Source organism: Homo sapiens, chromosome 3, assembly GCF_000001405.40.
Source record: "Homo sapiens chromosome 3, GRCh38.p14 Primary Assembly".
In the NCBI taxonomy this organism is placed as follows: Eukaryota; Metazoa; Chordata; class Mammalia; order Primates; family Hominidae; genus Homo; species Homo sapiens.
Genome location: NC_000003.12, coordinates 144,900,067 through 144,912,651, shown reverse-complemented (window position 1 = coordinate 144,912,651; position 12,585 = coordinate 144,900,067).

Here is a 12,585-nt window from a genome sequence, read left to right as displayed (position 1 = left end):
TTTAAGTTCTGGGATACATGTACAGGTCTGTTACATAGGTATACACGTGCCATGGTGGTTTGCTGCACCCATCAACACATCATCTACATTAAGTATTTCTCCTAATGCTATTGCTCCCCTAGCCCCCCACCCCTGACAGGCCCTGGTGTGTGATGTTCCCCTCCCTGTGTCCATGTGTTCTCATTGTTCAACTCCCACCTATGAGTGAGAACATGCAGTGTTTGGGTTTTTTTTCCTGTGTTAGTTTGCTGAGAATGATGGTTTCCAGCTTCAAAGGACATGAACTCATCCTTTTTTATAGCTGCATAGTATTCCATGGTGTATATGTGCCATATTTTCTTTATCCAGTCTATCATTGATGGGCATTTGGATTGGTTCCAAGTCTTTACTATTGTAAATAGTGCTGCAATAAATATATGTGTGTGTGTGTCTTTACAGTAGAATGATTTACAATCCTTTGGGTATATACCCAGTAATGGGATTGCTGGGTCAAATGGTATATCTGGTTCTAGATCCTTGAAGAATTGACACACTGTCTTCTATAATGGTTGAACTAATTAACACTCCCACCAACAGTGTAAAAGCATTCCTGTTTCTCCACATCCTCTCCAACAGCATCTCTTTTGTCCTGACTTTATAATGATTGCCATTCTAACTGGCATGAGATGGTATCTCATTGTGGTTTGATTTCCATTTCTCTAATGACCAGTGATGATGAGCTCTTTTTCATGTTTGTTGATGGTATAAATGTGTTCTCTTGAGAAGTGTCTGTTCATACCCTTCATCCACTTTTTGATGGGGTCGTTTTCTTCTTGTAAATTTGTTTAAGTTCCTTGTAGATTCTGGATATTAGCCCTTGGTCAGATGGATAGATTGCAAAAATATTCTCCCATTCTGTAGGTTGCCTGTTAACTCTGATGATAGTTTCTTTTGCTGTGCAGAAGCTCTTTAGTTTAATTAGATCCCATTTGTTTATGGGCACAAGATGGTGTCAGGGCAGGCCATGGGTGGTTTTGAAAAAGGCAACATTGGAGCAGGAAAACAGGGATGTAAGGTTCTTACTTCGGGCTGCACTATTAGGCTTTTTGGCTTGAGGGTGGGACCCTCACTGGGGACCCACCCTCTTCTGCCCAGAATTCCCCTGCCTCCTGTCCCTATCACTACTTTTTTTTTTTTTTTTTTTTTTTTAGCAATTAATGTTTTGTGTAACTCCACTCCAAAATAAAACAAGTAAAATTTAAAAATACACTTTTATAGTCTAAGAGCAGTCTGGCATCTCCACTATACACATTTGGGAATGCGAGGCCACCTCAATTGCAATTGATGGGCCTTGTTTTGCCTAGCGAATGCCATTATGAACTAAAGAAAACCTGTATTATTGTGGAGATTCTGCCATCAGTTCAATCAACACTAAAGAGATGTTTGAAATATTGTATTTTCAAAATGAATGGCAAAAGTGTGCCATTGTTTTTTTAGTTGCTTAACTTATTGAAAAACCACTGTAGAATTTTGTTGCTCATAGGCATGTTAGCTTTCAAGACTTACTAACTTCTATTTTTAGTTTATGATATGTGTGTAAGAGCTGGCAAAATTTTGAAGCTAATTTATATTCAAAAATATGGTAGATAAGGCATATCTTAAAAAATAATTCTTCCTTTCTAGAGTGAATATTTTAAAGTATAATATAAAATTCTATATTTTATTATCTACTTTCTGGATTTGAAACACTTCAGAAATTTGTTAGGTTTAGTTGTCCTGGATAATACCATAACAAGATATAGTGATTCCTCCTATGTAATAAATTTGAATGCTCAGAATAGTGTTGTGCTAGCCTATGTGTAATGAATTACGATTCTGGTTGTTGAATCAAGTTGATAAGATGTTTATTTTCTAAAAGCATAACAAACCAACATGAACCTTTCTAGTGCTTATATTTAAGAAAACATATAAATCATTGTTTGGCAAAGATTAAGGCTAATTTAAGATCACTGAAAACAGTGAAAGATTTTTTTTCCTTCTATCGCTGCCAGTTAAATTAGGTGCCTTGCTAATAAAGTTTAAACTGTTATTAGAAATTCAAGGCTATAAAATGGTCTATGTAACAAAAATTTTGAGGAGAAAGTATGGAATGGAGTTGCAAACACCTTTCTAATTCCACCATTGTTTATAATCCACAATGATACAATATAAAAAGATGAACTGTAATTGCTAACATGAAAGGTGTATATTTGTTTAGCTTTGCTAAGGAGCCAATCAATATTTTGGATGGAGTAATTAATAAGTTTGTGTAAACTCCAAAATGTAAATTATAGGTAAGCAGTAATCAATTGACTTTTTCTGCTGAATGACATCAGATTTGTTATATTTTTTCTCCCTATCTTCTTATTTTCTTTTAAGAAACAACCTTTATTATTTCATATTGGGTCATTCCACTGGACACCAAATATTTGGCTCTTTCACCGTACACCCTGTGCATTTACAGAAGCTTGACTTGATCCTTTGCTTAGTATTTGTCCTTACTGTTCTCTAGCAGAATTAACCAGGTGTCTCATAGATACCTTATATATAGTGATAAAAGTGAGAGGTGAACCCAGCTGGACTTCCTGGGTCGAGTGGGGACTTGGAGAACTTTTCTGTCTAGCTAAAGGTTTGTAAATGCACCAATCAGCACTCTGTAAAAACACACCAATCAGCACTCTGTGTTTGGCTAAAGGTTTGTAAATGCACCAATCAGCACTCTGTAAAAATGCACCAATCAGTGCTCTGTGTCTAGCTAAAGGTTTGTAAATGCACCAAACAGCACTCTGTAAAAATGGACCAATCAGCACTCTGTAAAATGGACCAATCAGCACTCTGTGAAATGGACCAATCAGCAGGATGTGGGTGGGGCCAAATAAGGGATTAAAAGTTGGCCCCCTGAGCCAGCAGCAGCAACTCGCTCAGGTCCCCTTCCACACTGTGGAAGCTTTGTTCTTTTGCTCTTCACAATAAATCTTACTGCTGCTCACTCTTTGGGTCCACACTACCTTTATGAGCTGTTAACACTCACTGCAGAAGTCTGCAGCTTCACTCCTGAAGTCAGTGAGACCACAAACGCACCCGGAGGAACAAACAACTCCAGACACACCACCTTTAAGAACTGTAACACTCACTGCGAAGGTCTGCGGCTTCACTGCTGAAGTCAGTGAGACCACGAACCCACTGGAAGGAAGAAACTCCAGACACATCTGAACATCTGAAGGAACAAACTCCAGACACAACATCTTTAAGAACTGTGACACTCACCGCGAGGGTCCGCGGCTTCTTTCTTGAAGTCAGAGAGACCAAGAACCCACCAGAAGGAATAAATTCCAGACACATTTGGCGACACAGATGGGACTATCACCAAGTGGTGAGTACCATCAGACCCCTTTCACTTGCTATTCTGTCCTATTTTTCCTTGGAATTTGGGGGCTAAATACTGAGCACCTGTTGGACAGTTAAAAGTGACTAGCGCAGCCACCAGACTACAGACACGAATGTCAGGCTTTCTGGGAAAGGGCTCTCTAACAACCCCCAATTCTTCGGAGTTGGCAGCATTGGTTCATGTGGAACCAGCTTCCACTTTTCATGTACTTCTGGGCTGAGCTGAGGGTTGACAGAGAGGAAATCCATTCAGCTCCGGGGTCCCGGCAACAAGTTGGTTGACCCTGTGGCCATGAGTGGAACTCTCAAAGTCATGTCGCCCAAGCCAGACTCGCCCATCTATCCTATCTATCCTGACCCGTGCCTCATGGGTCCTAACACCTGTCGGACAAACTTCCTCCCAACTCTCTTCTCTGAGGTTAGTCCCACTTCTAAAAACCACTCCCTGTCTCTGGTGCTTTTCTAGTTTCTCCTGTAAGAATGACTTCTAGTATAAACTTCAGGACTCCATTACCTTCTTTAGGCACCCGGGTTCACCAATAGGAAAGACATAATTTTTGCCCAAAGCCCCATTGGGGTGGGGGACTATCTGGAATTTTAGGATTCCTCCTCAGACTAGCAGGCCTAACAAAAGCTATTCCTGAAGCTAGGATATGGGGCGCTTCAGAAATGGTATCTTTCCTATTCATATAAGTGAGGACAAAAGGCATCACTCTTCCAACCCTGGAGATCCCTTCCATCCCTCAGGGTATGGCCCTCTACTTCAATTTTGGGGCATAACATCTTTATGTGACAGGGGTAAGGTCCCAATACTAACAGGAAAATGCTTAGTACTCAGGTTTTCGAGACTGCGTCAGTAAGGGCCACTAAATCCAAACTTCCTTGGTCCTCCTTGTGGTCTAAGAGGAAAGCTAGTGTTTCTGCTGCTGTGTCGGTGAGCACAACTATTCCTATCAGCAGGATCCAGGGACCATTGTGGGTTCTGGGGCAAGAGGTGTTTCTGCTGCTGCGTTGGTGAGCGCAACTATTCCAATCAGCAGGGTCCAGGGACAGTTGCAGGTTCTTGGGCAGGGGGAGAAACAAACAAACCAAAACCGTGGGCAGTGTTGTCTTTCAGATGGGAAACACTCAGGCGTCAACAGGCTCATTCTTGAAATGCATCCTAAGCCATTGGGACCAATTTGACCTGCAAACCCTGAAAAAGAGGCGGCTCATTTTTTTCTGCACTACAGCCTGGCCCCAGTATTCTCTCTCTGATGGGGAGAAAATGGCCACCTGAGGGAAATATAAATTACAATACTATCCTGCAGCTTGAACTTTTCTATAAGAGGGAAGGCAAATGGAGTGAAATACCTTATGTCCAAGCTTTCTTTTCACTGAAGGAGAATCCACAACTATGCAAAGCTTGCAATTTACATTCCACAGGAGGAACGCTCAGCTTACCCTTCCTATTAATGATAAACCTCCTCTAATCTCCCCTGCGCAGAAGGAAACAAGCAAAGAAATCTCCAAAGGACCACAGAAACCCCTGTGCTATCAGTTATGTCCACTTCAAGCTGTAGGGGGAGGGGAATTTGGTCCAACCCGGGTACATGTCCCTTTCTCCTTCTCTGATTTAAAGCAGATCAAGGCAGACCTGAGGAAGTTTTCAGATGATCCTGATAGGTATGTAGATGTCCTACAGGGTCACAGGCAAACCTTTGACCTCACTTGGAGAGATGTCATGCTATTGTTAGATCAAACCCTGGCCTTTAATGAAAAGAATGCGGCTTTAGTTGCAGCCCGAGAGTTTGGAGATACCTGGTATCTTAGTCAAGTAAATGATAGCTGAAGAAAGGGACAAATTCCCTACCAGTCAGCAAGCCGTCCCCAGTATGTATCCCCACTGGGACCTCAACTCAGATCATGGGGACTGGAGTCGTAAACATCTGTTGACCTGTGTTCTAGAAGGACTAAGGAGAATTAGGAAAAAGCCCATGAATTATTCAATAATGTCCACCATAACTCAGGGAAAGGAAGAAAATCCTTCTGCCTTCCTCAAGTGGCTACAGGAGGCCTTAAGAAAATATACTCCCCTGTCACCTGACTGACTAGAGGTTCAATTGATCCTAAAATATAAGTTTATTACCCAATTAGCCATAGAGATCAGAAGAAAGTTCCAAAAGCAAGCCCTGGGCCCTGAACAAAATCTAGAGGCATTATTAAACCTGGCAACTTCAGTGTTCTATAATAGGGACCAAGAGGAACAGACCCAAAAGGAAAAGCAAGATCAGAGAAAGGCCGCAGCCTTAGTCATGGCCCTAAGACAAACAAACCTTGGTGGTTCAGAGAGGACAGAAAATGGAGCAGGCCAATCCCCTGGTAGGGCTTGTTATCAGTGTGGTTTAAAAGGGCACTTTAAAAAAGACTGTCCTATGAGAAACAAGCTGCCCCCTCACCCATGTCCACTATGCCGAGGCAATCACTGGAAGGCACACTGCCCCCAAGGACAAAGGTTCTCTGGGCCAGAAGCCCCCAACCAGATGATCCATCAACAGGACTGAGGGTGCCCGGGGAAAGTGCCAGCTCACGTCATCACTCTCACTGAGCCCCAGGTATGTATAACCATTGAGGGCCAGGAAATTGACTTCGTCCTGGACACTGGCACAGGTTGCTCAGTGTTAATCTCCTGTCCTATCCTGGACAGCTGTCCTCAAGGTCCATTACCATCTGAGGAATCCTGGGACAGCCTGTAGCCAGGTATTTCTCCCACCTCCTCAGTTGTAATTGGGAGACTTTGCTCTTTTCACATGCCCTTCTTGTTATGCCTGAAAATCCCATACCCTTATTAGGGAGGGATATATTAGCCAAAGCTGGAGCTATTATCTACATGAATATGGGGAACAAGTTACCCACTTGTTGTCCCCTGCTTGAGGAGGGAATCAAAACCCTGAAGTCTGGGCATTGGAAGGAGCAAACTCAAGCTCCATCCTTAAGCCTTCCCATAGGATGAAACTTTTCATTATACGTCACAGAGAGAGAGCAGGAATAGCTCTTGGAGTCCTTACTCAGACTCATGAGACAACCCCACAACCAGTGACATACCTAAGTAAGGAAATTGATATAGTAGCAAAAGGCTGCCTCACTGTTTATGTGTAGTTGTGGTGTTGGCTGTCTTAGTGTCAGAGGCTATCAAAATAATACAAGGAAAGGATCTCACTGTCTGGACTACTCATGATGTAAATGGCATACTAGGTGCCAAAGGACGTTTATGGCTATCAGGCAGCCACCTGCTTAGATACCAGGCACTACTCCTTGAGAGACCAGTGCTTCAAGTGCATACATGTGTGGCCCTTGGCCCTGCCGCTTCTCTCCCAGAGGGTGGGGAGCTGGTTGAGCATGGCTGCCAACAGGTTGTAGTCCAGACTTATGCCACCGGAGATGATCTCTTGGAAGTCCCCTTGGCTAATCCTGACCTTAACCTATATGCCAAATGGAGGTTCGTTTGTGGAGAGTGGGATGCGAAGCGCAAGTTATGCCATAGTTAGTGATGTAACAGTACTTGAAAGTAAGCCTTTTCCCCCAGGGACAAGCACCCAGCTAGCAGAACTAGTGGCACTTACCCGAGCCTTAGAACTGGGAAAGGGAAGAATAAATGTGTATACAGATAGCAAGTATGCTTATCTAATCCTACATGCCCATGCTGCAATATGGAAAGAAAGGGAGTTCCTAACCTCTGGGGGAACTCCCATTAAATACCAGAAGGAAATCATGGAGTTATTGCCTGCAGTGCAAAAACCCAAGGAGGTCTTACACTGCCAAAGCCATCAAAAAGGGGAAGGAGAGCGGAGAACAGCAGCATACGTGGCTGGCAGAGGCAGGAAAAGACTAGCAGAAAGGAAAGAGAGAAAGAGACAGAAAGTCAGAGAGAGAGAGAGAGAGGAAGAGACAGAGACAAAGAAGGAGTCAGAGAGAGAGAGGAAGAGACATAGACAAAGAGGGAGTCAGGCAGAGAGAGAAAGAGAGAGACAGAAAGTCAAAGAGAGAGAGGAAGAGACAGACAAAGAGGGAGTCAGAAAGAGACAAAGAAGAAGTCAAAGAGAAAGAAAGAGAGAAAGAGAAGCAGTAAAGAAAAAACAGTGTACCCTATTCCTTTAAAAGCCAAGGTAAATTTCTGTCTACCCAGCTAAGGCATATTCTTCTTATGTGGAACTTCAACCTATATCTGCCTTCCCACTAACTAAGTCCCAACATTAACATTGCCCCAGGAAATCAGACCTTATCAGTACCCCTCAAAGCTCAAGTCTGTCAGCACAGAGCCATACAACTAATACTACTACTTATAGGGTTAGGAATGACTACTGCTACAGGAACCGGAATAACTAGATTATCTACTTCATTATCCTACTACCAGACACTCTCAAAGGATTTCTCAGACAGTTTGCAAGAAATAACGAAATCTATCCTCACTCTATAATCCCAAATAGACTCTTTGGCAGCAGTGACTCTCCAAAACTGCCGAGGCCTAGGCCTCCTCACTGTTGAGAAAGGAGGACTCTGCACCTTCTTAGGGGAAGAGTGTTGTTTTTACACTAACCAGTCAGGGATAGTATGAGATGCTGCCCGGCATTTACAGGAAAAGGCTTCTGAAATCAGACAACACCTTTCAAACTCTTATACCAACCTCTGGGGTTGGGTGACATGGCTTCTCCCCTTTCTAGGTCCCATGGCAGCCGTCTTGCTATTACTCACCTTTGAGCCCTGTATTTTTAAACTCCTTGTCAAATTTGTTTCCTCTAGAATCCAGGCCATCAAGCTATAGATGGTCTTACAAATGGAACCCCAAATGAGCTCAATTAACAACTTCTACCAAAGACTCCTGGACTGACCCTCTGGCCCTTTCACTGGCCTAAAGAGCTCCCCTCTGGAGGACACTACAACTGCAGGTCCTCTTCTTCACCCTTAACCAGCAGGAAGTAGCTAGAGTGGTCATCACCCAATTCCAAACAGTAGTTGGGGTGTCCTGTTTAGAGGGGGGATTGAGAGGTGAGGCCAGCTGGACTTCCTGAGTCGAGTGGGGAATTGGAGAACTTTTCTGTCTAGCTAAAGGTTTGTAAATGCACCAATCAGCACTCTGTAAAAATGCACCAATCAGCACTCTGTGTCTAGCTAATGGTTTATAAACACACCAATCAGCACTCTGTAAAAATGCACCAATCAGCGCTCTGTGTCTAGCTAAAGGTTTGTAAACGCACCAATCAGCACTCTGTAAAAACAGACCAATCAGCACTCTGTAAAATGGACCAATCAGCATTCTGTAAAAATGGACCAATCAGTAGGATGTAGGCGGGGTCAAATAAGGGAATAAAAGCTGGCCACCCAAGCCAGCAGTGGCAATCTGCTTGGGTCCCCTTCGACGTTGTGGAAGCTTTGTTCTTTTGCTCTTCACAATAAATCTTGCTGCTGCTCACTCTTTGGCTCCGCACTACCTTTACGAGCTGTAACACTCACTGCAGAGGTCTGCGGCTTCACTCCTGAAGTCAGCGAGACCACAAACCCACCTGGAGGAACAAACAACTCGGGACGCACCACCTTTAAGAGCTGTAACACTCACTGTGAACGTCTGCAGCTTCACTCCTGAAGTCAGCGAGACCACAAACCCACTGGAAGGAAGAAACTCCAGACGCATCTGAACATCTGAAGGAACAGACTCCGGACACACCATCTTTAAGAACTGTAACGCTCACTGCGAGGGTCCGCGGCTTCATTCTTGAAGTCAGTGAGACCAAGAACCCACCAGAAGGAATAAATTCTGGACACAAAAGTGTATCTGGTATCATCATTCATTCATTAATTCATTGACTAATGCATTTATTATTTCGAGAGTTAACAACTTTGCTATTGCTACATGTCAGAATTTCTTTGAAGGGTCAGTATTCCCAGCCCAGTGATATATGCAGAACAGCAGTCTCAAGGATTTGGGTTTCCCCATTTTTGTGGGATTGTGTTTGCCAAAACAAGAGGGAAGTTGAATGATGAAACTCAGTTGATGAAATATCAACTGGAGACAAAATTTTCAATATGTATAAAATATATTCATTAATTATCATACAAGTTGTATGTATAAATATGTTCCTATAAACATTCAACTGCTTCAGGGATATTCAACTTAGAAATATGCATTTATTCTTGACTTCTTTCTTTCTACATTATTGTGATGTCAATTCCATGTCATGCTTTTCCTTTACAGACCCTCATGGGATCCTTCTAAATGATTTCAGTGTCCTGCTAAATGTCTTCATCTACATTAATTCATTTGCTTTCGTCAAACTAATCCTCTCTTACCACACACACACTGACTGAAATCATTTTAATAAAATACAAACTTGATCATATCAGCCTGCTACTCGAAACCCTTCAGAGATTCCTCATTTCCTTATAAGCTAAAATTCAGATACTTTATCACCTTCAAATACAGTTCCAACAAACCACTCCATATGTATTCTTTTGACTCTCTCAATTTCTAACATTTATACATCTTCATTTTTTATGTACATGGTACATCACAGACATAGAATTATTAGTATTCTCTATTAATACTAATATTCCTTGCCTATCTGAATATTATCCATATTTTAAGCTCTTTTTGTGGGGAGAAAAGTCTTCCTTTAAGGCCATAGTTAAGATTCTAATGTCTTTCTAAAATAATTTATGGATTAATTAAGTTAATCCATGAATTATGCACTCAATATCTATTTATCATGTGCCTACAATGTGTCAGGTAATATCCTAAATTCTGGAAAAAAAAATGGCAGCAGTAAACAAAATATATGAGGACTCTGCCTTCTTAGAATTTAGAATATAATGGAGAAGAAAGGCCATAAGAAAATTAGCAAATAAAAAATTTGTTGAAAGTTGTAATTGAGAAGGAAAAAGACAAGAGAAAGAGACCAAAAAAGGCAAGGGAAAGCCTACTTTGGATTGGGAGACTTCACCTCTATTATATGTTCATGCTGTACAAAACAAGAATGAACCCACTGAGAGAAGCCAGTTCAGCTGGATTATAATTTTGAAAGGGAAGAATATCTGAGATAGGGATTTGGGGCAGTCAGGTCAGGAAGACAATATTAAAGAGGGAAGCTCTTGCTCTGAAGGTGACAGAAAGACCCTGTACGTTAAGAAGAGGAAGTAGATAATTTAAAAAGAAAGTCTACGTGCCATATGGAATATAGGCTGTGTAGGGGCAAAAATCATAGCAATAACCACTCAGGAGGCAAATGAGTGTAAGATACAGATAATGCCAACTTTGGCTAAGCAGGTTGATGGCAGTGGAGATGGAAAGACAGGGACAAAGTGAAACATTCTTTAGCAACAGAAGTTTGCTGAATTGAATTGAATGCACACACTAGTAAACAAACCAATTAAGTATATAGATCAAGAGAAACTTTAGAGGGGATTGCCAAGTTCATTTTAAATATTCTTGAGTTTCAGAGATGTCATGCAGAAGGTAAAAATACAAAAGTGGAACATCTTTTTTGTGTGTGTATGTTTGGACATAAAAGTCATAGATACAAGCAGGGAAATCAGCCATGTTTTACTTTATGAGTTATGTTCACAGTATTCCATGTGCTGAGGAAACAATCTTACCTTTATGAGATCTAGATCATTTAGGAAGCATTCACTCAAACCACTCAGAGAAGTAGGGTAACACATCTCCTAACACTGAAAGGACTATGTGTTTTAATTCAGTAAGTTAAATTAGTACAAAGCTTCATAAACCAGCTAAAGATAGAAGCTGATGAATTGTTCAATGGAGAGAACTGCAGAAGCCCTTTAAGAAAAGCCTACAATTTTAATGGAGTTGTTCAAAGTGTGTCAAAGAACTTATGCAGAAACAGTCCTAAAATATCCCTATTAGATGCATGTATGTTTAGGTTTATTTCAGATTAATTGTGTTAACCCTTGTGGCTTGGAAAAACATTAATAATTGTTAAGTAAATAAATGTAACTGCCTCACCCTGGGTTAGACTACTTGAGGAAGTGCATCTGAAATTTTCTTGAAGATCATTTTCCACAGTTTCAAAACGATTGGCTTTTTCTTGGTTCACACTGTCAAATAAATAAAGCATATCAGAATTCACTTCTGAAGCATGACTGCATACTAAGCAAATTTTGTAAATATGGCCTCTATTTTAATTTCACCATAAAAATATTTTGTTAAACTGAATCCAAAGTATTTTCTCCTGATGCTAAAATAAATAAGCAAATAAAATTAACTATATTTGTTGCAGAAGACCATTGCATGTGTTTTTTACAGTATATCTAAGCAAACAGATATATTAATTTAAATTTAGTTTGTATTAATTGTATATTTTCTTGGAAAACATGACTTTTCAATCACAAGTTTATACTCTAATGAGAGAGACTGCATAAATCCTAATTGCTAAAAAACAACAGTGCTAAATAACAGATACATAATTGTGGAAAATAAGGAAACTATGAGATAGTGTAGTGTTATGTTCAGTCCTGTCTTGGATGATAGCTACAAATAGCAAGTTGTAACTGTCCATAAGAAGATGAAAGGCTCTCTCTTTTCATTAACTAGCTCACCAGGATTAGGTTTGGTTTACTCTTTACTGGAGTAGAAGAGTGACATACAATCTGGTGAAATTTAGGGTAATTTATCCAGTGAGTGATTCACCAAAGCAGCTGGATGCTGCCAAGCTTGGAACTCAACAGCCTCATTCCAAACATTTTCAGGCTCTGGGACAAGAGCACAAATGGAGGCCCATGTACCATAGGTGTAAATATACAGAATTATAAACCAAGCTAACAAAATACTTGACAATTGTGTTCTGCCCTCCTACTCCAACTAAATATTATGTCATCATGTCAAGATTTCATTTCTTCTTTTCACCTTTGGCTCTTCCTTAAGGTCCATTTTCGTAATGTTTATTTCTATCAAATCCCTTAGATTGTACTTTGTTCTCAATTATTTAAAGGATTAAAATGTAATTGTATTCCAAGTATAAGAATTTTAAAATATTTAATCAAAAATAGATAATACAGTCAATAATAATTAATTGTACATTTAAAAAATAACTAAAAGAGTGCAATTGGATTGTTTGTAGTAGAGAGGATAAAGCCTTAAGGGGATGGATACCCTACTTTCTATTATGGTATTATTGCCCATTGCATGCC